The 26,761-nt window shown below is 40.4% G+C and overlaps 1 protein-coding gene across 3 annotated transcripts in view; it reads left to right on the forward strand.

The window, feature by feature from the left end:
* Positions 1-26,761, forward strand: part of CNTNAP5 (contactin associated protein family member 5) — an 895,933-nt gene that overhangs the window by 619,881 nt on the left and 249,291 nt on the right. For all 3 annotated transcript variants that reach the window (NM_001367498.1, XM_017003316.2, NM_130773.4), the window contains exon 13: positions 2,591-2,791. In NM_001367498.1, the coding sequence (NP_001354427.1) occupies positions 2,591-2,791 (201 nt within the window). The remainder of the gene's footprint in view (positions 1-2,590; positions 2,792-26,761) is intronic.

Raw genomic sequence — 26,761 nt, forward strand, 5'->3', positions numbered from 1 at the left:
TTAAAAGTTCTGGGTTAATTGTTTTTATAATATTATTATCTTTACCAACATGAATTATGTCTTATTTTTGTTTTTAAAGTCAAAAGCAAATAACATCAACTTGTTTAGACTTTATGGAAAATATAATCTTAGGTTGGATGCAGTGGCTCATGTCTATAATCCCAGCACTTTGGCAGGTTGTTTGAGGCCAGGAGTTTAAGACCAGCCTGGGCAATATAATGAGAGCCCATCTCTAAAAAACTTTTTAAAGATTATCTGAGTGTGATAGTACATACCTGTGGTTCTAGCTACTTGGGAGTCTGAGGCAGGAGGATCGCTTGAGCCCAGGTGGCCAAGGCTGCAGTGAGCCACGATCGTGCCACTGTCCTCCAGCCTGGGCAACATAGCAAGCCCCTGTATCTAAACAATAAAATATAACCTTGCCTCAGTGAAACACTGGGGACATGTGGGTTATCAATGGGCTGGTTTTAGGAAATAGTCTTAAGACAAGTCAGAATGTTTGAGCACAGTTTAATTTTTTGCTGTGTATTAGGCCATTTTTGCATTGCTAAATGGGAATACCTGAAACTGGGTAATTTAGAAAGAAAAGGAGTTTGATTAATTGGCTCATGGTTTTGCAGGATGTACAGGAAGCATGGTGATGGCATCTATCATCAGCTTCTGGGGAGGTCTCAGGGAGCTTAGAATCATGGTGGAAGGTGAAGAGGGAGCAGGCAGTTCAGACGGCAAGAGCAGGAGCAAGAGAGAGAGTGAATGGAAGGTGCCATGCACTTTAAACAACCAGATGTCACTGTCGCAAAGACAGCACCAAGCCATGAGGGATCCACTCCCAAGACCCAAACACCTCCCTCCAGGTCCCATCTCCAACACTGGGGATTACAATTCAACTTGAGATTTGGGCAGGGACAAATATCCAAACCATATCATGCTGGAAGAAGTATTTTCTTTTATAGAATTGGAAAATCCTTTAGAGGTAATTAAAATCATACTCTCTTTTTCTCCTGCTTCTAATATGTTGAAACTAAGGTTTGGAAAGATGAAACGACATGTCCCAAGTTGTGTACAGAGCTAGTGAGGGAGAAAGGATTAACCAAGGGCACCCAAGTGGCCTATTCTTTTCTCTTTTCAGCTCAGTCATGCCAACTGCTGTGCTTCTGCCTTGTAGCTGTGCTAATTAATCGTGGTGACTTTCAGTGTATGTGCTCATCATTACTGTTTCATGGATGTGCCTCGGGTCATTTCTTTACTTTCTGGACCTTAGTTTCTCCATTTGTAAGGCTAAGAGGATGGGGAGGGAAGAAACCACATGATTTCTATGCTAGATTCCTTTTCAGCTCTCAGAATTTATGAAGAGTAATGATGTAATTATGCGGGCAAGATTCTCAGATGACAAAAGCTTTTCAAGTCTTCCTATTTCCTCTTTTGCTGTATTTGAGAGGATGTTCAGAATTAAATTGCATGTCCAATTGCAGTAAATGTTTTAGCCTAGGTTATTACTACAGAGTGTCTGATACATCCCAGATAGAGCCTTGCAACTTTGTATTTGTGGTTGCTTTTCCATATTACCAGTGCTACCAGGGTATTGCTCTCTTGTTTTTGTTGCAATTGTTGTTGTTTTCTTAACTGACTATAAAACTAAGCTTCAGAAAAGAGAAGGGGGCTGGGCACGCTGGCTCATGCCTGTGGTACCAGCTACTTGGGAGGCTGAGGTGGGAGAATTGCTTGAGCCCAGGAATTTGAAGCTACAATGAGTTATGATCACCCTACTGCACTCTAGCCAGGGCAACAGAGAGAGACCCTGTCTCTTTAAAAATAAAAATTTTTTTAATAAAAGGAAGTGATTTATCCAAGCTTGTTCTTGGCAGATACAGGCTTCAAATACAGATCTCCCATGTTCTAATGCCCAAATATCTCCCCTCTCTCACTGCCTTACCTTCTTTCGCCTATTAGGCAAAATATGTCCTTCCGTCATGATTTAAAGGTCCTCATCTTTCATTGTAAATCTTCCCAAATATTTTTGGCAAAGAGAGGTAATACGGGGAATAAATACTAAACAAAACAAAACCCTACAATTAACTTCATTGCATGCAGAGTGTGGATCACACAATCTCAACCTTGTTCTCTGAGAAAATGGTTCTCTGAAAACATGCTAGTGTTTCTCTTGTGAGGAAGTGTGTCAGTAGCTTTGGAGTCAGACATCCTAGGCTCAAGTCCTTGCTTAGTCACTTATTAACTGTGGGATATTGGGTGAGTTGCCTAATTTTCTTTCACATTTTCCTCATTTTTGACATAGCGGTATTGCTTCACTTCCAACTTAGGCATTGTCAATTTTAACTGAGATCATGGGATTAAATGCTTACTGTAGAGCCTGTGGGAAAAGGGCTCCGCAAATTGAGCTCTTAAGATTACTGACCCCCATCCTAACTCTGGTGGAGCTCCATGGGGAAACACAATTTCTCTGTCCTACTCTCCATACGGTACCGGAGTGTTGATTAATGTTGCACGCTGAGTGGCCCATCACACTGCTCACATGCTCCATTTTTGACATTGCTTCTAACGTCTCTTGCTTTGTGTTGTGTTGTCTGGGCAGAGGACAAGATCTGGACATCAGTGCAGCACAACAATACAGAGCTGACCCGAGTGCGGGGCGCTAACCCTGAGAAGCCCTATGCCATGGCCTTGGACTACGGGGGCAGCATGGAACAGCTGGAGGCCGTGATCGACGGCTCTGAGCACTGTGAGCAGGAGGTGGCCTACCACTGCAGGAGGTCCCGCCTGCTCAACACGCCGGGTAAGGCCTCTGCATGCATGACCACAGTGGGATAGATGGGACCCTCAGACCTGGAGTATTAGGCAAAGGAAAATTTGCCAAGAAGGGGGCTATAGTTACAGTTAGTCACTGTGCACTCGAGAGAAACACAACAAGAGGGGTCTGGTTATGTAGTAATCCTGGCTCTGAAATTCAGCATGGAAGCTAGAGTGAGTTCTGTCACCTTTCAAAGTTTTCTCCTCATCATAAAGAAAACGATTCCAACACCCACCCTGCAACAGTTGTGAGAATGAAGAACATCTGAAGAGGAATGGGCCTCAAAGAGGGCATTTGAGCTTGACATAGAAAGTGTGGCCATGGGAAATGCTAGTTTGGGGAGAGAGAATAGAGCTTGATAAGGCACCAGGATCTCAGCACACCCACCCGAGAGGGATGAGTTATGTCTGGGGTGGAGGATGCCTGGATGCCTAAGGGGGCAGTGTTAGGCAGGGAGGCCAGCAAGATAGGCAGGGCAAACCTGTGGGTTCATGGCATGAACGGAGCCTGAGAAATAGGGGCTTTAGGGGAAATGACTCTTTTTATAAGTAAAGTGTGCTTCTAGAAAAAATTAAACTAACACTGCATATGAATTTATTTATTTTCCCATGGTTATTTTTTACAGTAAATGGATGATTTAGTTATTAACATGCTTTGAAAAGGAAAAAAAACAAAACAAAACACAACAACAAAAACAACTTCTAGAACTGCTTACTAAGACTCAAGAGTTTCTGTAAAATGTAAGATAGGGTTCATCAAAATTTACATGTTTCCTGGGAGTCAGTCATTTTTTTGTGAATGTCAGTTCATCATTTGTTTCATGGGAGAAAAAAGGACAAAAGATCTGAAGTATCTAAGAAAGGGTGTTATAATCTCTAGCCTCAAGAAACTTACATTCCAGCACTTAGAAGTTAAGAACTTTGAAAGGCTGGGGAAAAAATGGAGAATAAAATATCAACAAAGGGGAAATCATAGAAACCTAACTAAATTCAACAGAATGCCTCCTTGATCTAGGATCTTCAGGGAAGACGTTGTTCCACGTAATTGAATTTTCCAGGTAACTGTCACTTATCCTTTTAAGCACCAAAAATCTTTCCAAAGAATTTTTAACTATTTGAAATGAAAATCTTTCTCAAATGGATTACACGCTTCCATGCCTTCTTAACCAGAGAATTCTGAACATAAAATGTAACCTTTCTTGGTGACTCAGCATCAGCATTGTGAAAATCAATTATTGTACTCTCCTTAGATTCAGCCAGGCTTGCAGGGCTGATTAGATCAGACGTACTGGTTCGTGTCCCTTTACCCAGCATCCTCAGAGGGTGCTGCCCTGCCAGAGTCAATGTTTATATTTATGTGTGTTTCTCTCTCCATGTCTGTCAAGCCTGCACGTGCTACCTCAGCACAGTTCTCAGGGTGCCTGTCTCCAGAAATGCCCTTCCCTCTTCTCATTGCGTTGTTTCTAGTTTTTGAAGGTTTCGGTTTGGCCGAATTGTAGGACTAATGGCGGGGCATGTTCATTCTGACTATGGGACTTCTTTTAGGATACGCACTCCGTGATATCAATTTGGCTACACCATTGACTTTGCAAATGTGTTCTTTTCCTAACTCAGCTGCCTCACTGTCCCTGGCCTTATTTGAGTGGGAGGGCACGGGTTTGGCAGCAAGTCATATTGGGAGTAAGGGCTTGATGCTGTCATTTACCAGTTATGTGACTTTGTGCAAGTTGCTCAATTTCTATAGTTTCGATTTCACCACCTGAAAAGTTTGCATGAAAATCCTGAACCCATGCAGTTGATCTGAGGATGGAAGAAAAAATTTAGTCTGAACTCCTTGTGCTATGCCTGGTACATAATAGGTATTCAACAAATACTGGTGTCCTTATTCGTAGCTTCCATTGCAGCAGGGAACATCCAAAATTGTTCCATAATGGGAAACAAGCACAAAGGGAAATTTTATTTCTATTTTAACAATGTAAATAGAATAATTGTCATAATTATGTAGTAACAGAATTGATTAGAAAACTCAACGTAGATAATCTCATCCCCTGAAGATGGCAACTTTAACATTCAGATGTGAATCCTTCCAGACATTCTTCCATGTGTATATTCTCAAAGGCACAAGGAAGACACACCATATTTTTGTGCATGAGGGTCTTCATTAATCGTCTTTCCCCATGTGCTCTGAATCAAAAGGAGGGAGATAAAGGAGAACAATGGGTATGTAGGCTCAGTGTCTACTTTCTTCTTGTGAGCTGGCTTGGAGAATGTAGCATGAACCACTTCATCCTCTTGGCTTCCACCTCCAGACTAGACACTGCTTGTGGGGCAAGAGAGTCCTCATTTACCCAGACAGTCCCGTAGAGGTGTGATTTAGCTTCACACTTTCACTGCCAGGACAGAAGCCACCTCGTCCCCCATGCATGTGAGCTCACCGTCTGGAAAAGCAGGAATGGGAAAAACAATATATAACATTTGTAGCCACATGGATTCAACAGCCAGCATCCAGGGCATACACCTACATGAATGTTTTCCTGGTCCTTATTATTATTAAGCCACTCATTCCCTTCCCAAGAGGAAGCCCAAGGACAGAAGCAGAGGAGGATAGAGGCCATCTCCTCCTTACCTATCTAAGATTCTGGAAGAAGTTTGTGCAAGTTTTTCCTTTATCAGATGAATCTGTGGTCTATGCTGGGAAGAGATTCCCGACCCTGTGATACTCTTTTACAGCCTGTATTTGTCACACACAGGAAATGTACAAATACCTTTCTTTATCAATAAATACAACTTCATATCATCATTTTCATTAACTATAGAGTATTTTATTATATGGAGCTACTCCAATGAACAAATCTCCTATTTGGACCTGTAGATTGTTTCCATTTTTTTCTCTGTTACACGTAATGCTGCAGAACAGTTTTGCATTTAGATCTTTGTGAACATAACTGATTATATCCTCAGGACAAATTCCTTGAGGTGCCATTTGCAGGGCAGCGAGTATGCATATTTTTAAGACTCTTGCCACATTGAATTCTGCAATGCATCAAGGTTGTACCAATTCATACTCCCAACGACACTATGAGACTGAGTGCCCGTTTCCCAGCGATAGATACTATTATCTTCCTTCAACTTTGGTAATGTGATAAGTGCAAAGGTGGGGAGTCAAAGATGATTATAAATAGTTTTGTTATTAATTTTTAAAAGCGTGCAGGCTGATTACCATAGCCTACTGGCTATTGCTAACTAGTAGCCAGGGTGAGTAGACGTTATGAAAAATTATAAATTATGGCTGCAGGTGCATTTAAATCAATAAGAGAATGTGGGGGTTGCCTTGTGGGCATAGATTCTCCTATATACTATGCACAATGGTTAATAAATGGATACAATATAAGAAGGCAAAATGAAAGACAAAGAAATATTTAAATGGCCAATAATGACTGAGATTTCTTATGTTTGAGGATATGTGTGGGGTGAGCTACTGGAATTATCTCTAACCCAGACAACAGATCTGCACCATAAGAGTCATTGTCCCCATCTGATATTTCAGGAAACAGAAACTCAGAGAGAATAAGATGCTTGTTTAATGCCACACAGAAAGGGGCAGATCTAACTCTTGCAACCAAAATCTCCTGAAGTCAGAGCAAAAGTGCTATTTCTGATACATCACAAAAGCGGCCAAGAGCCAAGAGTTACAAGTAAATGAAGGAGTCAGAAAAAACATGATTTTGTATAAATTTCCTTATTGTGTAGGAAAATGGAAGGAGAGAGAAGCGCACCAAGCACTGTCTCTGTGAAGGCCACGGAGTTGTCAGGGTTGCCTGAACTGGGCACATTCCTGGGCGGCATCAGAGGGTTTGCATCATCCTGGCCTAGACTCATCACCTTCCATGGCTCACGCACCCCTTCATGGGAAGGCCTGTGTATCCCTACACAGCATCCCCAGAGCCTCCTTCTGCCTGCTCTCGGCTCCAGCAAGGGCTCTGGTTCCATTCATTTAGCAGCGGCAGAGGGAGAAGGAAGAGACAGGCAGGATAAGGTCGTGCATGGGTCACCACTGGGCCTTTTTCATTCAGTTGGTGACTGAACCATGACACTGTCATTTTATGACAGTCTCCTTGGATATTTTTTTCCCAGAACTACTGATAAGTGCCAACCAATGGAATGCATCCTCCATCTCTGTAGCTGAAGGTTTATACTAGAAACTCTCCAATGTCTCACCAGGACATCCGTATCCCAGGGAAAGTGTCTTTGTGATTCTCATGGATCTTTGTCTTTCCCCTCACTCTGCTTGCTGCTTTCTACTCTGAGCTTTCTGCAGGGCTGGAGGCCCTTTGCTACAGTGCAGCTTCCAGTACAGAGCCCAGGGGGGGAGAATCACCACAGCCTGCCAGTACTCACAGTACCTTGTCACAGGGAAGGAGACAACACTTATCCCCACTGAAAAAGGCTACCTTGGTTGAGCCCAGACCTTTTCTCTCTTGTCAGCACCTTCATAGGCATTTTGCCTGAGGCTAGAGTCCTGAAGGCGACATGTGATGAGCATACGAAATGAAACAGGAGGACAGAAAAATAAATATCAAAGCCATAGTCTGGAAGATTCTTGAATCACATGGCCAATTAGCTCTATAACCCATAACTTTCCCCTGGAAGGAGGACAAGATGGAGAGGGGTATAGCAAGTGACCGCATGGGGAAACTGAGTGCCCAGATCTCTGCTGGGAATGGGCATTGGAAGGCCTCCCTATCCCACAATTCTCTTGCAATAGTCTCCATGGTGCCTTGAAAGTCCCCCGCCACTGGATTCCGTCATTAGGGTGTCAGTATCCGGTGTAGGCATCCTCTTGCACTCACCACTCCAAGTAATGGAAATCTGTTTGTGGAAACCCTCTTCAGTAAAGCTGTGACCTCTTGCAGGCAGAGGGAAGAAGTCAATATTGAAACACGTGAAAGCACTGGAAATTCAGACTCCATTACTTTGAAATCTAATGGCTGTAGGACAGCCTGAGCTGGAATTTACTTTGATTTTTCTGAACAGAAAGCATTTGCGGAGCAAATCAGTCATGGAAGCAAGATTGCCGTGAGGATTGTGTAAGTTCTTCAGGAGCCCTAAGAATCCAGAGCCCTACAGCATCACAGAACCTCTGTTTACCTACCAGTAACATGCTGGTTAAAAGCCATTCCTATTAATTCATTCATGCAGCTGAGAGTGGTTTCTACCTGCAGTCAATTGCTTTACCTAGTCATGTTACAATGGAATTTAAAGGGACAGCATGCTATTTATTTTAAAGTATTTTAAAATTCTGAATTTTTTCTTTAATTACTGATACTTTAGTGAGCATACAGCTAACTGACTATATATACCATACATAATAATCTAGACTATATAATACATAGTATATAGTATGGATAAATATATATGTGTCTGTATGATAGTATATAGTATATAGTATATAGTATGGATAAATATACATATATACAATATATGATGTATATACTATATAGTATATGCTATGTCATATTTGTCCATAATGCTATATACATTCATCACGTACTCTTTATGTGTCCAAACAGCTCTGTAAATACACTTGTGCATATTAATTCTGTTTATTTGCAATATTCCCCTTCACATGTGAAAAATTAATGATTTAGTTTAGAAATCTGAGTAAGGAATTGTGATGTAGAAAAGTCAAATTACAGGTAGAAAAGAAACAGTATGTCAAGATACTCTGGGGTTCACAAAACTAAAAATGCTTTCTTCTCAATACTTGTACCACCCAAGATCAATTAGCAGAATTAACATTTTTCTTTCATACACTAGGCATTTTTGAGTATCTGTTTTGTGCCAGGCACTGGGGAGTGAAAATAAAACACTGAAAAAACAGAGTTCTTGCCTGCATACTTGTAGTAGGGAAGACAGAAACATGCCCCCACTGCCCCCAACCCCCCCCCCCCGCCACACACACACAATCAGTGCATGTTGAAAGTGATGCTGAAAGGTCCAGAAGGACAAATGACTAGAGTATCAGTGGATGTGGGGAGCTGCATCTCACATGAGGTGGTGGGAAAGTCCTCCCAGTGTGCAGGAGCTATCCAGCAGGACCCTGAGTGAAGGGACAGGATGAGGCAGGTGCCTTTTTGGGGCAGAAGATTCCAGGCTGAAGAATAGCCAAAAGGCCAGTGTGGCTAGAGGAGGAGCAAGGGTGGGAGGAAAATGATGGAAAGTGGTATCCAGAGGCCAGATTTTACAAAGCCTGGGACTGCAAATTTTATTCTAAGAGTAAAGGGAAGTCACTGGAAGATTTTAAGCAGAGGATTCTCTTTCTGTTTCAAATCCAAAGGGTAATGTCAGTTTATGTAAGTCAGGCTAAACCAGGTATGAATATTTTCATATGAATAATTTGCTAAGCACATAGACATTTTAAGTCATCTCCTATGCCTAGTGAACTGGAAAAAGGTATGAGCTCCCTGAAGGAAGAAACATGTCTTATATCACTCTGTAACCTCACATTCTAATTCGGGGCTGTGTGTGGAAGGCTGTGACCACCTTGGATCCCCTCTGATTCATGGTGGTGATTCTGTTCTTTCTCACCCAATTAACTGAGCTGCGATTGCTTTGGCTACTTCACCCGCTATGTTCTTGCTGCGGCCCACTTTCACCATGCTCACAAAGCTTGGAGGTCCGCGTCAGAGAGCTGCAATCTTTGCAGTCTATGGCACCACCTCTGCTCCCATATTTCTTTCCTTTCTTAATTCCCTCTTTCTTTCATCTTTTTCTTTGTCCTTCCTTCTTTCTTAACCACCCCCCGCCTCCACAGACACACGCCTAAACATACACAAATATGTGGGTAGAACTGATCCCCAGTGTCTACCGTTCTTCCACACCAGAATTAAAACCACAAACTTACATCATGACATCTGGAAGACAAAATATCAGGGTAGTATTTGACTTTTTTTTTTTACTTATTTCTTAAATTATGCTCCCTATCATCTTTTTATTATTATTATTGTTATTATTATTATTATACTTTAGGTTCTGGGATACATGTGCAGAATGTGCATGTTTGTTACACAGGCATACATGTGCCATGGTGTTTTTCTGCACCTATCAACCCGCCATCTAGGTTTTAAGTCCAGCATGCATTAGGTATTTGTCCTAATGCTCTCTGTCCCCTTTCCCCTAACCCTCTGATGAGCCCCAGTGTGTGATGTTTCCCTCCCTGTGTCCATGTGTTCTCATTGTTCAATTCCCACTTATGAGTGGGAACATGTGGTGTTTGGTTTTCTGTTCTTGTGTTACTTTGCTGAGAATGTTGGTTTTCAGCTTCATCCATGTCCCTGCAAAGGACATGAACTCATTCTTTTTTATGGCTGCATAGTATTCCATGGTGTATATGTGCCACATTTTCTTAATCCAGTCTATCACTGATGGACATTTAGGTTGGTCCCAAGTCTTTGTTACTGTAAATAGTGCTGCAATAAACGTACGTGTGCATGTGTCTTTATAGCAGAATGATTTATAATCCTTTGGGTTATATACCCAGTAATGGGATTTCTGCATCAAATGATTATATATATATATATATATATATTTACCAAAAAGCTATTTCTACTTTATGTACAACAAGAATATAATAAACCCAGGTGGACTGGGTGCCATGGCTTACACCTTTAATCCCAGAGTTTTGAGACGCCGAGGTGGGAGGATGGCTTGAGAACAGGAGTTGGAGATCAGCTTGGGCAACAAAGCAAGACCTTGACCCTACAAAAGATATTTAAAAAGTTATCCAGGTGTGGTGGGGCACACTTGTAGTCCTATCTCCTCTAGAGGCTGAAGTGGAAGGATTGCTTGATCCCAGGAGTTCTAGGCTGCAGTGAGCTATAATTGTGCTACTGCACTCCAGCCTCAACAACACGTGAGACCTCAACTGGAAAGAAAAGAAAGAAAGACAGAAAGAGAGAGAGAGAGAGAGAGAGAGAAAGAAAGAAAGAAAGAAAGAAAGAAAGAAAGAAAGAAAGAAAGAAAGAAAAAAGGAAGGAAGGAAGGAAGGAAGGGAGGGCACACCTTGGTGACAGAATAAGACTTTATCTCAAAAAAAAAAAAAAAAGAAAAAGTCACTGCCACTAGCCCACATTCCAGGGGAGGGAAATCTGCTTCTATCTTCTAATGGAACAGGTATACAGACATGTTTTAAATGACAATGTCATCTTCAAAATTTTACATGAATAGTCAACTACCCTAAGAAATGCAGTGAATACAGGGCAGAGTCGAGAGTCAAACCAAGCTCTTTCTAACTCAAAGTCTAGGCCCTTAGACTCTGGTGTCTAAGTCAGTTATAATTCATGTTGGAAATGGGTTTGGCCCTCCATTTTTTCCCGTGAGGGACTTTTGTTACCCTTAAAGTGATACAGCTAAAATGTGTTTTTAAGCGTTTGCCACAGCTTTCAAAAATAAAGAGATCATCACATGAATCAAGCCAGTGCAATTTACAGTGCATGAAAGCCAAAGCCATCTTTCCTAATGTCCTAGTAATTTACTCTTGGTATTTCACTGGGGACTTGAAGTCAAAATTAGAAGTGGGTGGGTCTTACCAACAAGGTGGATAACTTAATCAAGCTAAAGATGTTGATATGAATCTGAGGAAAAATAAAAACTATCCTATGTAAAGTCAACAGATGGTATATATCTGACCACAATTGAGTTGCTGTTCAGACCATGAATTATTTAAATAATCAAAGTTGATTGCCCAAGAATCAACACTCAGACACTACATAAAATAAAATATGCATTTTTCCCATCACTTTATGAAAGCCCATGTCCACTTCCTTTATCTCAAGGATAAAGGAATGCACATGTAGGAAGAAGAATACAATGTTCTAATATTAAGATACGGTACAGTGGCAGCACAATGGAAAGAACATGGATTTTCTTCACTGTTTTCTCTTCCTTTATTAATTGTGAGACCTTAAGTAAGTTAAATGGGCCTTCTGAGCCTCAGTTTTCTTATGTGTGACATTTAATGAGACAGATGCCATGTCTGGCACAGAGTAGGCCCTCTGGACACTGCTGTTATTTTAGCCAGTATTTTATCACATTATCCAGCGGCAAGGAGAACATTAGGTCCCTTAGGTACTGATAGAGGGTCTCCCAATCTCATAGTGTGGCCATTCAAAGAGTTCAGTTGTGGAGCTTGCCTCTTCATAGCTTGGGGGCACACCTACTTTCTAAATTGCACTTCATTTATTTGTAACTTATGGCATTTACCTACTCCTGGTAGCACTGTTGAAAGTGTAGAGTTAGGTCTATGTTCCTCTCCCCATTTCTGCCAAATACCCAAATCCACTCATCTGCTTATCTTTCTCATTTCAGTAAATGCTACCTTCATCTACTGAGTTTTTTAAGACCAAAACCTACGATTCCTTCCTCTTCACCATCTCCATTCCCCATTCAGTATATTCTCCAGTCTCTTCTCTCTAATTCCACATCAACCACCTCCATTCACACCCTCATCATCTCCTCACCATACTAGACAAGTGCAGTAGATTCCTGCTTCCTGTCTTCCACCATCCCATGCCCCATTTCCCCACAGCGGATATCCCAGCCTGCAGCCAGAGTGATAATCTTTTCAAAATTAGATTATATAACCATGGCTCCAAACCTTTCCCTCTGGCCTGGAAGCAAAACCCAGACTCCTAACTGTAGCCTGCAGAGCTCTGCCAGCCACAGGCCTCTGCCAGCCCCTGTTCTCCCATTAATACAGTGAACTTGGCCCCACTTTGCTTTTTGTTGCTTCTTGCCCAGCTTGCCCCACCTCTCAGACCTGATACACTGACTGCTCTCTCTACCCAGAAGCCTTGTTCCTCTCTCCATGCTTAGCTGTCTCTGATTTTACGTACAACTAAAGTATTCACTTCATTACTGTTAACTGCTTCATCCTTCCTGAATAGTCTGCATTGAAGTTGTTTCTATCAGATACCTTCTTCTTGCTTATTTGTTCACTATCTGCCTCTGTCAATAGAATGTGAGCTTCTTGTAAGAGGGGCCTTCTTTGTCTCATTCTTTATTCCCAAAATGCTTAGAATAGTACCTGGCACCTAGGGACAATTGAGTGAATAGTTGTTGAATGAATAAAGGGTCTCTTCTCAGTAGTAAGTATCACCAGTAGTCATATGATGTCAAAGGACAGATGACAACACACGTGCACTTGGCCAAGCCTGTCACACAGACCCTGGTGGGAGGAGAGCAACTTCACAGAGCAAGAGGCTAGGCTTGTGGGGAGCTGCCCTCTGACTCCCAGCTTTGCCATTGATTCTCTGTAACCTTGAGATGTTACTGATGTTTTATGGGCCACAGGTTTCTCCTCTTTGATACTAGAGGCTTATATTTAATGTTCTCTGAGTGTCCTTTTCACTCTGGCACTCCATGTCTCTATATTCACCACACAAAGTTAGTTAAAACACATGTCAGAGTTTATTACTTTTTTGTCACAGTAAGGAACTTGTCGGGGTTAGTAAAACAAACAAACCAAAAAAAAAAAAAAGACTTTTGTCAGCCTCTCAAGCTTATGAAATGTGCTAATATAGTTATGTAATAGGTGATATTTTTTGACACCTTCATACACCTACTCTCCTCAGAACATACTTTCCTTACCGTGGCATAGATTGTGCAAAGAAGGTATGAAACTTCCCTAGGGTCATACATAACAAGTCAAGAATAGCAAGAAAAACAATTTATTACTGTAGCATATGTTTGTGTGTATTACCGTAGAATATGTATGCATGTATTTTCTTTATAAACAAACATATTTGGTGGCTTACGGGGTAGATATGGAAACGAAATTATACCAACTACACAGATGAGGTTAATGGGTCTGCATAGGTGTTAGGCTATAATGGCACCTCTGAGCTTGCTTTTCAGGGGGCCATGGCTAGATACTAGACTTTCTTCACACCTGAGTCCTCACTGGAACCTTCCCAAAGAGAAGGCTCCAGAGTTCTGGTGATGAGCTCACTTACATGTTGCATCAGTTGCTTTGGTTCAAGCACTTGCTCCACTCCTACCGCCATGTGACCTTAGATGAGGTACTCACCATCTCTAAGCCTCAGTTTCCTCAACTCTAAGAATGAAGATGAGAAAAATAACATTAATGATACCCACATCATTGGAAGAATAAAAAGTGTTTGAAAATTTCACTCTTCATAACTTTTTAGTTTACCTAAGTTGTTTTGAAATTACAGGGGTGCCTTTCTGAACATAATTTTCATTGTCTTATTATTTGCTGAGAAGAGGGAGTGGGTTTTCTGTGTGTGTGTTTACGTGTGTGTGTCAGATCAGATGAGGAAATACCAAATGTGCTTTCTATATGGTAGCGGTGATTTCACAGCGAAGATATGAAGCTTCCTAAAACTGGTAAATCATTATCTTGGAAAGAGACAGTGGAAATGTTTTAGCCTCTGAATAAAAAAATAAAAAAATAAACACAACATAATTCCCCCACTCTGCCACTTATTTTTGGAGTAGCCATCATCAGGAAAGGTAATCTGAATCTGCATTTCATTTTCTTCTCTGCGAAATAGCTAACATATTGACCTCACTTGCATCTCATTTTCTTCTCTGCGAAATAGCTAACATATTGACCTCACTTGCATCTCATTTTCTTCTCTGCAAAATAGTTAACATGTTGACCTAACACTATGCATGCGTAGTATGGGGCTGGACTAGTGGCTATTATTATTTAAGGAGCCTATCCCCCTACAGGCAGAACTAGAGACTATATGTACATGTGAGCAAGGTATACAGGGCTCTGAAAAGGAGAAACTACTTCTAGTTAGGTGAACACCTTTCCAGAGGTTTTCTATGGAAAAGCACCTCTTCTTTGTGGACACAACATGGGTAGAAGTCATTCTGAGTTGAGGGAAGTGATGGGGAAAGGCATGAAGGGAAGACTGACCCTCAGAGAATGGGGGAGACATTGTAGGAATAAAACAGTTAAAAGTTCTTGCTGCTTATTTCAGATAAGGAGTCACAGAGGATGGAAAGAAAAAAGGAAGAAAGGAGGAAGGAAGGAAGGAAGAAAGGAAGGAAGGAAGGAAGGAAGGAAGGAAGGAAGGAAGGGAGGGAGATAGGAAGGAAGATGGAGATCTTTCTATGTTTCAGATACTTCCCAGCATGCTCCTATAGATTAACTCACCTTCTTTCACTGAATGAAGACATTTGAACTGGAGAAGGTTAACCATGTGGATGGAGGTAGAGAGAACGCACTGAGTCTGAAGGAGAGCACAGAGAGAGGCTAGGTAGGCATCTATCTTAGCGGTCTAGGGAAGAGTTAAAAAGCATGGAGGTGATGCGTCATAGGAATAGAAAGATAAAGAAAGACACTAACACTTAGATGAAAGCACTAGTACAGGCTGGTGAGTTACTGGTTTCAATGAACCAAGTAGTATCTAAAACAGTGCTGTCCAATGAAAATATAGCACAAGCCACATGGGCAATTTAAAATTTTCTAATAGCCCCATGTTAAATATAAAAAGAAATAGGTGAAATTAATTTTAATAATATGTTATTTTTATGCCAAGATATCCAAAGCAATACCATTTTAACATGTAATTAGTAAAGAAAAACCCTAATACACTGTTTTACATTATTTTTTATACCAAATCTTCAAAATTGGGTGCGTTTTTTGCATTTACAGCACATTTTAATTCACAGCCTGTTGCTGTACTGAATACTGTAGGCAACTATAATACAATGGTAAATATTTTTACATCTAAACATACCTAAATATGAAACAGGAATAGTAAAAATACAAGACAAAAGATACAAAAATGAGCTGGGCACTGTGGCTCAAACCTGTAATCCCAGCTACTAAGGAGGCTGAGGCACAAGAATCACTTGAACCCGGAAGGCAGAGGTTGCAGTGAGCCAAGATTTTGCCACTGCACTCCAGTCTGGGCAACAGAGTGAGACTGGGTCTCAAAAAAAAAAAAAAAAAAAGAAAAAGAAAAAAAAATTTACGCTGTGTAGGGCACTTACCATGAACAGAGCTTTCAGGACTAAAAGTTGAAAGTTGCTCTGGGTGAGGCAGAGAGGGAATGATGTGTGAATGTGAAGGTCTAGGAAATTACAAGGTGCCACTGTACACTTTATAAACACTGCACACTTAGGCTACACTACATTTAAAAAAATATTTTTTCTTCAATAACAAATTAACATTAATTTACTGAAACTTTTTTACTCTATAAACATTTGCATTTTTAACATTTTTACTCTTTTATAATAACACAACTGAAAACACACATTGCACATCTGTACAAAAATATTTTCTCTCTTCTACCTTCATTCTATAAGCTTTTTTCTATTTTTAATCTTTTAATCTTATTTTTACTTTGAAACTTTTTTTGTTAAAAATAAAGACAAATACACATACTAAACTGGGCCCGCAAAGAATCAGGATTATCATCATCACTGTCTTCTATCTCCACATCTTGTCCCATTGGTAGGTTTTCAGAGGCAATAACATACATGAAGCTGTTGTCTCTTATTATAACAATGCCTTTTTCTGGAATTCCCCCGAAGGGCCTGCCTGAGGCTGTTTCACTTTTTTTTTTAATAAGTAGAAATGGTACACTCTAAAATACTGATAAAAATAGTATAATAAATGCATAAACCAGGAACATAGTCATTTATTATTATTATAAAGTATTATGTACTGTACATAATTAAATGTGCCATACTTTCATAAAACTGGCAACAAAGTAGATTTGTTTACACCAGTATGTACACATTAGTAATTCATTGCACAATAACTTGAAAAGGACTACTACATCACTGGGCAATACAAATTTTTTAGCTCCATTATAATCTTTTATAAATTTTATAGCTCCATTATAATCTTTTTTTAATATATATATTATACTTTAAGTTCTAGGTTACATGTGCAGAACATGCAGGTATACATGTGCCATGGTGGTTTGCTGCACCAGTCAGTCCATCATCTACATTAGGTATTTCTCCTAATGCTATCCCTCCCCTTGTCTCCCACCCCCCGATAGGCCTCGGTGTGTGATCTTCCCCTCCCTGTGTCCATGTGTTCTCATTGTTCAACTCCCACTTATGAGTGAGAACATGCAGTGTTTTGCTGAGAATGATGGTTTCCAGCTTCATCCATGTCCCTGAAAAGGACATGAACTCATCCTTTTTTATGGCTGCATAGAATTATATGGTATATATGTGCCACATTTTCTTTATCCAGTCTATTATTGATGGGCATGTGGGTTTGTTCCAAGTCTTTGCTATTGTGAACAGTGCTGTGATAAACATACGTGTGCATGTGTCTTTATAGTAGAATGATTTATAATCCTTTGGGTATATACCCAATAATAGGGTTGTTGGGTCAAATGATATTTCTGGTTCTAGATCCTTGAGGAATCAGCTCCATTATAATCTTATGGGGCCACCCTTGTACATGAGATCTGTTGTTGACCCAAATGCCATTCTGCAGCACATGACTGTATACATGTATTTATATAAATGTGTGTGTATTACAACAGCCGTTAAATATGATCTTGTTAGTCCAGTTATATAAATGAGGAAATGGACACTTAGAGGTGAAGTAAATTGCCTGAAGTCTTACACAAAGGATGGGATTCTAGGCAGATCTAATTTCAAAGCCCATACAAAGTCACAGACACATGTCAAGAGAGAATGAAGGTAAAGCAGGATCAGGAGACCTTGAGTCCAAATACTTTTGCTCTATGTGATGGTTCTGCCAAATGAGGAGGGAGATGTTTGCCAACTAGAACATACTATACGTAGTTGATTACAAATGTCATATGTATCCACATGTCAAATAAACTCTTACCTATATATTATTGCATATGATACAAATATATGTACATATATGCACTTTACATGTTTTTTCTGGTTCCTAAATAATCTTTATGGAGGAAACACTTAAAATATGGAAATAGAAAAAGGAAAGCTGTTAACATTAGCCCAGCTTTTGATTGTAACAGCTGAAATGGGCCAGGCTTTGTGGTAAGTATTTTCAGTTCCTAGTACACACAAATTACAAAACCATCTGAGTTAATCCTTCGAATCCCGTGAGGTGTAGGTTATTACCAAGGAACAAACGCATGTTCAAAGAGGTTAAGTAAAGTAAGAACCATGTGACCCTATCTGTAACTGTAGGATTACACACCAATCTAGTAAAACCTGTTACGGTTAAATCCCGCTGCATGGAAAGACAAAAACAATCCTTGCTTAAATCAGCCATGTCGCCAGCTGCCCAGACGCCAGTTAGACATTCGCTTGAACTGTGCCAAACCTAGACTGGATTTTAGCTAGTAAACTAGTATTATATAGACATAATCTGAAGTCACTCAAAAGCTATCTGAGTAATCATTCCATAAGTTGCCCCCCAAAAATAAAAAGCTAAATATTTCTGTGAATGCATCATTGACAAGGAAAAGGAATAAGATAAGAAGAAAATCAGAAACAAAGTTGCCGACACTGTAAAAATTTATCTGTATATTCAGCACAATTTTTGCATTAGAATTTAGAAAGGATAAAACATTAGGATATTGGAGTAGTTGCAGAATCCATTTTGGGAGTATGGAGGTTGGGGGCTAGGGAGAAAGAGAGAGAGGAAAGGAGGGAAAATCCTTTGGGGAATTGCCTCTGAGTTAGAAACCTGTACTCTGCTTCATTTTTTATCTTGAGTAAATGAAGAGAGATTCTCAACATGGAGACATGATCTTAGGTACATAACCCTTTGTGATCTTCCCAAGGGCCATACATTATGATGCTGAAAAACAAGAGTCCATGATAATGACCCACAGCTATTTAAAATAGCAACATTCCACAATGAATTCCTCCCTTCTTAAAGGAAGACAGGGATATGGTGGCAATGGGAGCTCAGAGTTGGCAATTTCTTGGCAGCTAAGAAGCTCAACAGGGATGAATTCTTTGGTGGTAAAATTGAAATACAAATTCCTTTTTCAAGTGGAACTTTTCTAACTCTCTGAGTTTTCAAAAACAGTAACTGGGTCATATTTATTTCTGAATACCTCTAGAGCCATTTTAGTGACTGGCACAAAGTAGGTCTCCCTCCCAAATTTTCTTGGATATGAAAATCCTGTGAGAATATGATCCAAAAAAGTACTTTGAAGACAATAATTGGAATTCTCATATGAGACACAAAAAGGTGACAGGGCTTGGTGGCTCACACATTTAATCCCAGCACTTCGGGAGGCTGAGGTGGGATGACTGCTTGAGCCCAAGTGGTCAAGGCTCCAGTGAGCTATGATTGTGCCACTGCACTCCAGTCTGGGCGACAGAGTGAGACCCTGTCTCAAGAAAAAAAAAAAAAAAAAAGGAAAGAAAAAGCTTAAGTGTGGTGCAATAACAACAAGGTAAAAACAAACAAAACCCAGAAACAGAACATCTTAATGGCTTAAAACAGCATCCTTTCATTTCTCAAGTAGGCCAGATATGTTTCATGAATTGGCTTGGGGCTCTGTGTTAAGTTTTCTCCTCCCAGCACCCGGAGTGATAGAGTAGCACTTCTCTCAAGTGTTACTGGTCACCTTGGCAGATGCAAAGAGGGCTCTGGAGTACGTCAAACCTGCTGCAGTCTGGGAATGACACATGTCACTTCTGCTTACAGCACATTGCCCTGAATGAAATACATGCAATCCGCAGGGGACAAAGAAGTTTTGTTTGTTTGTTTCTTTTGAGACGGAGTTTTGCTCTTATCACCCAGGCTGGAGGACAATGGCGCAATCTTGTCTCACTGCAACTTCTGCCTCCCAGGTTCAAGCGATTCTTCTGCTTCAGCCTCCCGAGTAGCTGGGATTACAGGCATGTGCCACCATGCCCACCTCATTTTTGTATTTTTAGTAGAGATGGGGTTTCACCATGTTGGCCAGGCTGGTCTCGATCTCCTGACGTCAGGTGATCCACCCGCCTTGGCCTCCCAAAGTGCTGGGATTATAGGCGTGAGCCACTGCACCTGGCCAGGAAGTTTAATCCTACCGTGTGCTCAGAAGGTGACGAGACAGAAGTAATTGGTGCATAGCCTTAACGTCTATCAGCCAGTGAGAACACAATGAACAAACCAACAAACAAAAGGCAAAAACAGGAAAAAAAGAAAAAAAGAAAAATATCATACCCAATAGAAGAATTGAAATCAAAGGGTATATTTACAATATTGTCTTTCCCTTTTTATCTTCTATCTACTATAAAGTGAATCGTTCCTTAATGCATGGCACACCAAAGAAAAATCCATCAGACCTCTGAAGTACTATGAACTATTTTTAAATTTGTAACTCTATTTATAGATCCTCATGTAATCATGAATATGAATATCCTGAATTTTAGTTTCAGCTAACATCAAATATTTGGTTAACGTCAAAATTAGCTTTACTATTTAGTTAATATTATAGTTTCAGTGTTAGTTCAAGCTAATGTCAACATCAACTGACGAGCAAATATTTGGAAAGCATTATTTTATTCCCTTTTTTAGAAAAAGCAAAGCAAATTTTCAAAATTAACTTTGTGATTAGTCACAAAGCCCTCACATACGTGTGGATAAAACTGTCTCCATATATATGTTGATGTGTAGCTAAAAAATATTGGCCAGGCGTGGTGGCTTATGCCTGTAATCCCAGCACTTTGGGAGGCCGAGACCGGCAGATCACAAGGTCAGGAGATCGAGACCATCCTGGCTAACACGGTGAAACCCCGTCTCTACTAAAAATACAAAAAATTAGCCGGGCGTGGTGGCGGGCACCTGTAGTCCCAGCTGCTTAGGAGGCTGAGGCAGGAGAATGGCGGGAACCCGGGAGGAAGAGCTTGCAGTGAGCCGAGATCAAGCCACTGCACTCCGGCCTGGGCGACAGAGCAAGACTCCGTCTCAAAAAAAAAAAAAATTATACATATTTATTGATACAGCATCCCATTTAATGCTGCTTTTATAAATCTGTGGCCTCTGAAATAGTGTTCATACATGTGTTTTTGTGTACATGTATTTTTAAAGGAAAAAACAAACTGTAAAATACTTTAAAGAGATTTATTCTGAGCTAATATGAGTGACCGTGACCTGGGTAAAATATAACCCAAAGAAGCCCTGAGTAAGTAGTCCTGAAGCGGTTGGGTTACAGTTTGGTTTTATACATTTTAGGGAGACAGAAGTTACAGGCAAACACACATATCAATCCATGGAAAGTATACATTGATTTGGCCCAGAAAGTTGGGGCATCTTGAGTCAGGGGCTTAGAGGTTATAGGTGGATTAAAAGATTCTTTAATTTGCCATGGGTTAAAGGAGTAAAGCTTTGTCTAAAAATTTGGAGTCAGCAGAAAAAAATATTTAAGATAAGGAGGTCTGTTAACCAGTACACTGGGTGAGAGTGACTTGTAGAGGTGTGTGACTTAACCCTTGTCTGGCAGAGCCTTAGGTCTTATTTATTAGTATCTTATTGTCACAAAGAGTTTGTTTTGTTAGTCTTTGTAATATTAATGCTGGTCAGCTGTGCCTAAACTCCAACAGAGAGGTGTCATCACAAGGCATGTCTGATCTCCCTTCCCATCATGACAGGGAATTCGCTTTTTCAGATTTCTCTAGAGTCCCCTTGGCCAAGGGGCGAGGGGTCTCTTCAGAGATGAGGGGATCTTAGGGTTTTATTTTTGTTTACAGTATAAAATGGTACACCACTATGCACTGTTGACATATTTTTCCTCATCCCCTAAATACTGTCCTATTCTCTGGCAGCTGGCCAGTGAGGGCCATCACCTCACTCTGCAAGTGCCCATGGCTGCAAGTATTCTTTTGAGCCATCCTGCAGGGAGCGCATCCCAGCAGCTTGCGTTTCTTTCCCATACTGACCTCTTCTGCTGCTGCATATTTTGTGCTTGAAATTGCTGTTTGGATTCCTCAAGACTTTCAAAGATGTTCAGGATGGTGCATAACTACAGCAAAGAACTAAAGGGAGACTATTACTCTGGACATTAAATACACATTTTATGATAGCTTGATGTGCTTTAAGAAGAACGATGGGGGAAACATGAGCAATGATTGGGCAGTTAGAGATGGGTAGAAGTCCATTGATATTATAAAGGACTTTAAACATCTTGGTAGCTGGGAAAGATTAACCAAGGAATGAGCTAGAAGAACAGATTGCCCCAGGGCAGTTTATGACTGCATGCAATTTGAATGCACCTCAGTAGGGTGTGCTAAGACCATTATAGTCCTGATTGATTAGCACCAGAAAAGTATTTCTACTTCCTGCTAAATGGAGGATGGCTGCTCTGTGCAATCTCAGAGGATTGTTTAATGTACACGTGTGTACTCCAGGTGCCACAGAATTCTACAGCCTTGATTTGACAACTCAGGTCTGTGCTATCTTCCTGATATTACTCATTTCACAGTCTGAATATGAGAGTATCTTTGTCACTGAACAACAGTGTTCATGTATGTAAACCTGCTCATTGCACCTGCTCCTTGCCATTTTGGTCAAGGTAAGTATAATGCCTCTTGCAGTCATTCATCAGTACCGTTGGGTTTTGGTGGGTGTGTTCTTCCCTGCCTCAGGGCAATGCTAATTTCATTTCTCATCCTCCACCATGCCTGAATACACAGTTTACCTAAAGGTTAAGAATTGAGTCCAATTAAGAGGATGGAGCAATTCCACTACATTAACATTAATAGTGCATGGAAAACACTCCCTATGTCTTCATTTTTTAAGCAGTAGCCATTTTCCTGTCTATTCTCTCTCTCTTATTTTTTCTTCCTGCACCACTTAATGAAAATCTAATGGTAGCAATGGCACCTTTGTTGATGAAAGAGAAAAAGTGATAATCGTTCCTGCTTGTCTCTTTCTCATTTCTCCCGTAAGGGAAGCTAAGAGTGGCATCCTTGAGACAGGTTTGCTTTACTGATCAAAGACAGTCCTTGGGAGAAACGACCCAGAGGATGAGGAATTGTCAAGAAAGCTTTGCCACAGACGAATATGATGGAACTAGTTCATCAAATGATAAAATGTGAACTTTCCTTTCATCCTGGAATGGAAAAGTCATTACAGGAAAGAGTGAATGTTATAAAGGTTAAACGTGAGTGACTGATGATGATGTATCAGGGAATTCCCTGGCCCTGTAAGGCTGTCTGGTATCAGGCTCTCTTGGCCTGTTTCAATTTATACACAACCATGAGGGCCTTACATCCATCTGTTAAAGCATGCTGTAGTCATACATTTAGCTAGGAAAAACCTTTGGCATCCGGGGCTTCTGCAGGGAGCAGGCCAAGAGATTCCACTAGGTTATGGATCTCCTTCTCCCTGAGGGAGGCATAAGTGGCAGAGAAGCTGAGAGATCTTAAGCAGCTAACGGAAAGGTTTGGGACCAGCTGTTTAGCATGACAAGCATTCCAGAGGCATTGAGGGGCAAGGAGGAAATTGAGCATGTGTTGAATCATTACTGTAAAGAAATAAATTGCCCTGGAAACTGTGTATCAGGGAGAGGCCTTCATAATTACTTTATTTACCAAGCCTTGCCAAGCTCCATCCTATCTTCACACTTGTTTCCCTCCACAGGCCCTCCCTGCTACTCTGTGCTTGAGTGCAGGAATTCTCAAGGTATGAAACACAGGAAAGGTTTATGTGATGCATGGATGGAATTTTTGAAAACATCATTTTTTTCTATTTTAATGTGTTATAAAAAGGTATACCATTAGCACTTAAAATTTATAATTTCAAATCTCTTATTACTAAGAGAGTAGTGTAAGTTAAAAAGAAATTAGTAATTCACGTCAATTAACTTAAAGAGATTTGAAGTAAGTGGTCATTTGGGTAGAAATGGCAACAAACTGGAAGATGCTTCTGGAATGAGGGAAGGAATGAGGGAAGGTTAGGAAGTGCTAGGGCACTTTTCCTTCCTCAGACACATCCTTTAAGGATGTGGTGCTATACCTTTAAGCCTTACTCACTCACTCCTCTTCCCACTTCCAGAGGTGCCTTCTTCCTGCAGTCCTATTGGTAACATTACATTTTGCTTTACCAGCTCTGCCTCCTCTGTGAAGCCCACCCTGATTTATTCAGAATAATTCAGCATGTGTTCTTTCTGCTCCCTTTTTATGTGGTTCATATTTTAATTGCATTATTCACTCACTTTCATTTCAGTCAGTTGCACACCTAAAGATGTTATGCAAATGGTATTCATTTTTATATCCTCAGGGACAGGACCTGCATTTGGGAGATATTAAATGATTAGTTTTGAGCAAACAAGTTATTCATATCCTTTCTTATCAAAGTTTCATCAAGCTCTACAGCCGCCAAATCCCATGGCAATACTAGGAGATCATTTCTTGATTAGTGGCATTTGACACAGTTGACCATGTCCTATTTTGAAATACTTGCTTTACTTAACTTCTAGAATGTGATACCCTCCAGTGTGGTCTTGCCTCTGACTGTACTTCTGCTACCTTGTTTGTTGGCTCCTTCCACGTTAAACAAGAAGAAGGTCTTAGGGCTCAGCCCAGGGCTCTCTTCATCATCTATGCATTCTTCTTGGATTGCCATTCAGTCACATGCTGGAGAATCTCAAATTTAGATCTCCAGCCAAGATTCCTTTTCTGAATACAAGATGCATATATCCACCTGCCTACTGGTCTTATGATGTCCCAAAATAATTTCCTGATCTTCTTCCTCCAAATATGCTCTTCCAGCATTCTTTCCCAAACTTTGTAAATAGCAAGTCATTCTTCCGGACACTCAGACCAAAAAACCTATGAGTTATCCTTGGTTCCTCTCTTTTTCCCATACTTTCTGATAAAAACGTTCCTAATCCAACTGGCTATCATTGAAACAGATGCAAAACTTAAGCACTGTGTTCGCTACCTTGGCCATTCCCAGGCCCAAGATGCATCACCTGTCTTTTTGATTACTACGATTGCTTCTTCTCAAACACCTCTCAGTTATAGAGGGACAAACTGCTCACAATATCTATGTGTTTCCTCCTGACTTCAGTGATCCAGTGTCCATCCCCATCCCCATTTCACTACTCACAGCGAGACCAGGGGCCCTCTTAGACCTTCCATGTTCTGGAGGCACTGGATCTCTCTATATTGTGCTGACACTTGCCTGCCTGCCTTCCTTTCCTTTTCCTTCCTTCTTTCCTTCCTTCCTTCCTTCCTTCCTTCCTTCCTTCCTTCCTTCCTCCCTCTCTTTCTCTTTCTCTCTCTTTCCTTCTTTCCCTCTTTCTTTCTTTCTTTCTTTCTTTTCTTTCTTTCTTTCTTAAGAGTTATGTTGGTGAATATGAAGCATATGTCATTGTGGTTTTGATTTTCATTCTCTAATAATTAATGATGTCAGGTATCTTTTCATGTACTTGCTGGCCATCTGTGTGTCTTCTGTGGAAAAATGTCTACTCAGCTCCTTTGACCTTGTATAATTGAGTTGTTTGTCTTTTTGTTGTTGCACTGTAAAAGTTCTTTATCTCAGATACTAGACTGTTATCAAACATATGACTGCAAATATTTTTCCCATTCTATCTTTTCACTTTATTGACATTGTCCTTTGATGTAAAGTTTCTAATTTTGATGAAGCCCAATTGAACTATTTTCTTGTTGTTGTTGTTTGTACTTTTGATGTCAAAGCTAAAATCCACCTTAGAGGTGTTGCACTTGTTGTTGTTGTTTGTACTTTTGATGTCAAAGCTAAAATCCACCTTAGAGGTGTTGCACTTGTTGTTCCCCTGATTGCAAATCTCTTTTCCAATTTACCACATGCCTTGCTCGTTCACCTCTTTCAAAATTCCGTATAAATAGAACCTTCTTAGCAAGCTTTATTTCTGTTCACTCTATTTAAAATTGCAATCTTTTCTGGACACAGCAAACCTGGGCCCCTTTTTTCCACTTTATTTTTCCTCAGTATTTATTTTCATATGATATAATTTACTAACTTATGTAAGCATGTTTTTAGACTTAAGCTTCCTAAGTCAGAGGTTAGTGTCTGTTCATGTGTGATTGTATTTTCCATGCCCAGAGCACAGCTTGCTACAGAGGAGGTGCCCAATATACCCAACTGGCAGGGGAGTTCAGCCTGTCGCCACGGGCCTCATTCTTCCTGTGTAAAAGCAGTTTTATCTGCCTTTCCTCACCCATCCTTGACCTCAACTGTTACTTTATCATTGGTATAATTATTAGCATAATCATCACTACCAAGAAATGTTTAGAAAGTTTCCACCTCTTCATGGTGTTAAGCTAAGCATAGGCATAGAAGCACGTATCTGGGATTTCCCAAGACAATCCTGATTTAAAAATAAGTTTATTAGAGAATGTAATCTAATTTTTGTTTTCAAAAAACAAAGGCATAAGAAACAGCAATTCTACATTTTTGCTCCTGAGCTGAGTGACATTATAGCAATGGCATGGTCTTTCTGAACCACAGTTTTCTCACCTGTAAAATGGGGTTGTTGTGAGGATTAAAGAAAATTATTTTTTTAAAGACAAAGGAGGAAAAAATGTAATAATGTAATACTCATGGCCCTATAATTTAATTTAAGTGATCTTTCAAGACTTTACAAAAAGCAGAATTTTCTGAATTCTTTGCTTATCTCTTTTGTTTCAGGAATGTGCTATGAATGCTAACTTTAATCTTAGAGACTCTTATTTTTATTTTTAGTTATTTATATTTTTGAGATGGGGTCTCACTCTGTTGCCCAGGCTGGAGTACAATGGTGCAATCTTGGCTCACTGCAACTTCTGCCTCCCAGGTTCAAGTGATTCTCTTGATTCAGCCTCCCAAGTACCTGTGATTACAGGTGTGCACCACCATGCCTGGCTAGTTTTTGTATTTTTAGTAGAGACAGAGTTTCATTATGTTGGCCAGGCTGGTCTCAAATTCCTGACCTCAGGTGATCCTCCCGCTTTGGCCTCCCAAAGTGCTGTAATTACAGGCATGAGCCAC

Source organism: Homo sapiens, chromosome 2 (assembly GCF_000001405.40).
Source record: "Homo sapiens chromosome 2, GRCh38.p14 Primary Assembly".
Classification (NCBI taxonomy): Eukaryota; Metazoa; Chordata; class Mammalia; order Primates; family Hominidae; genus Homo; species Homo sapiens.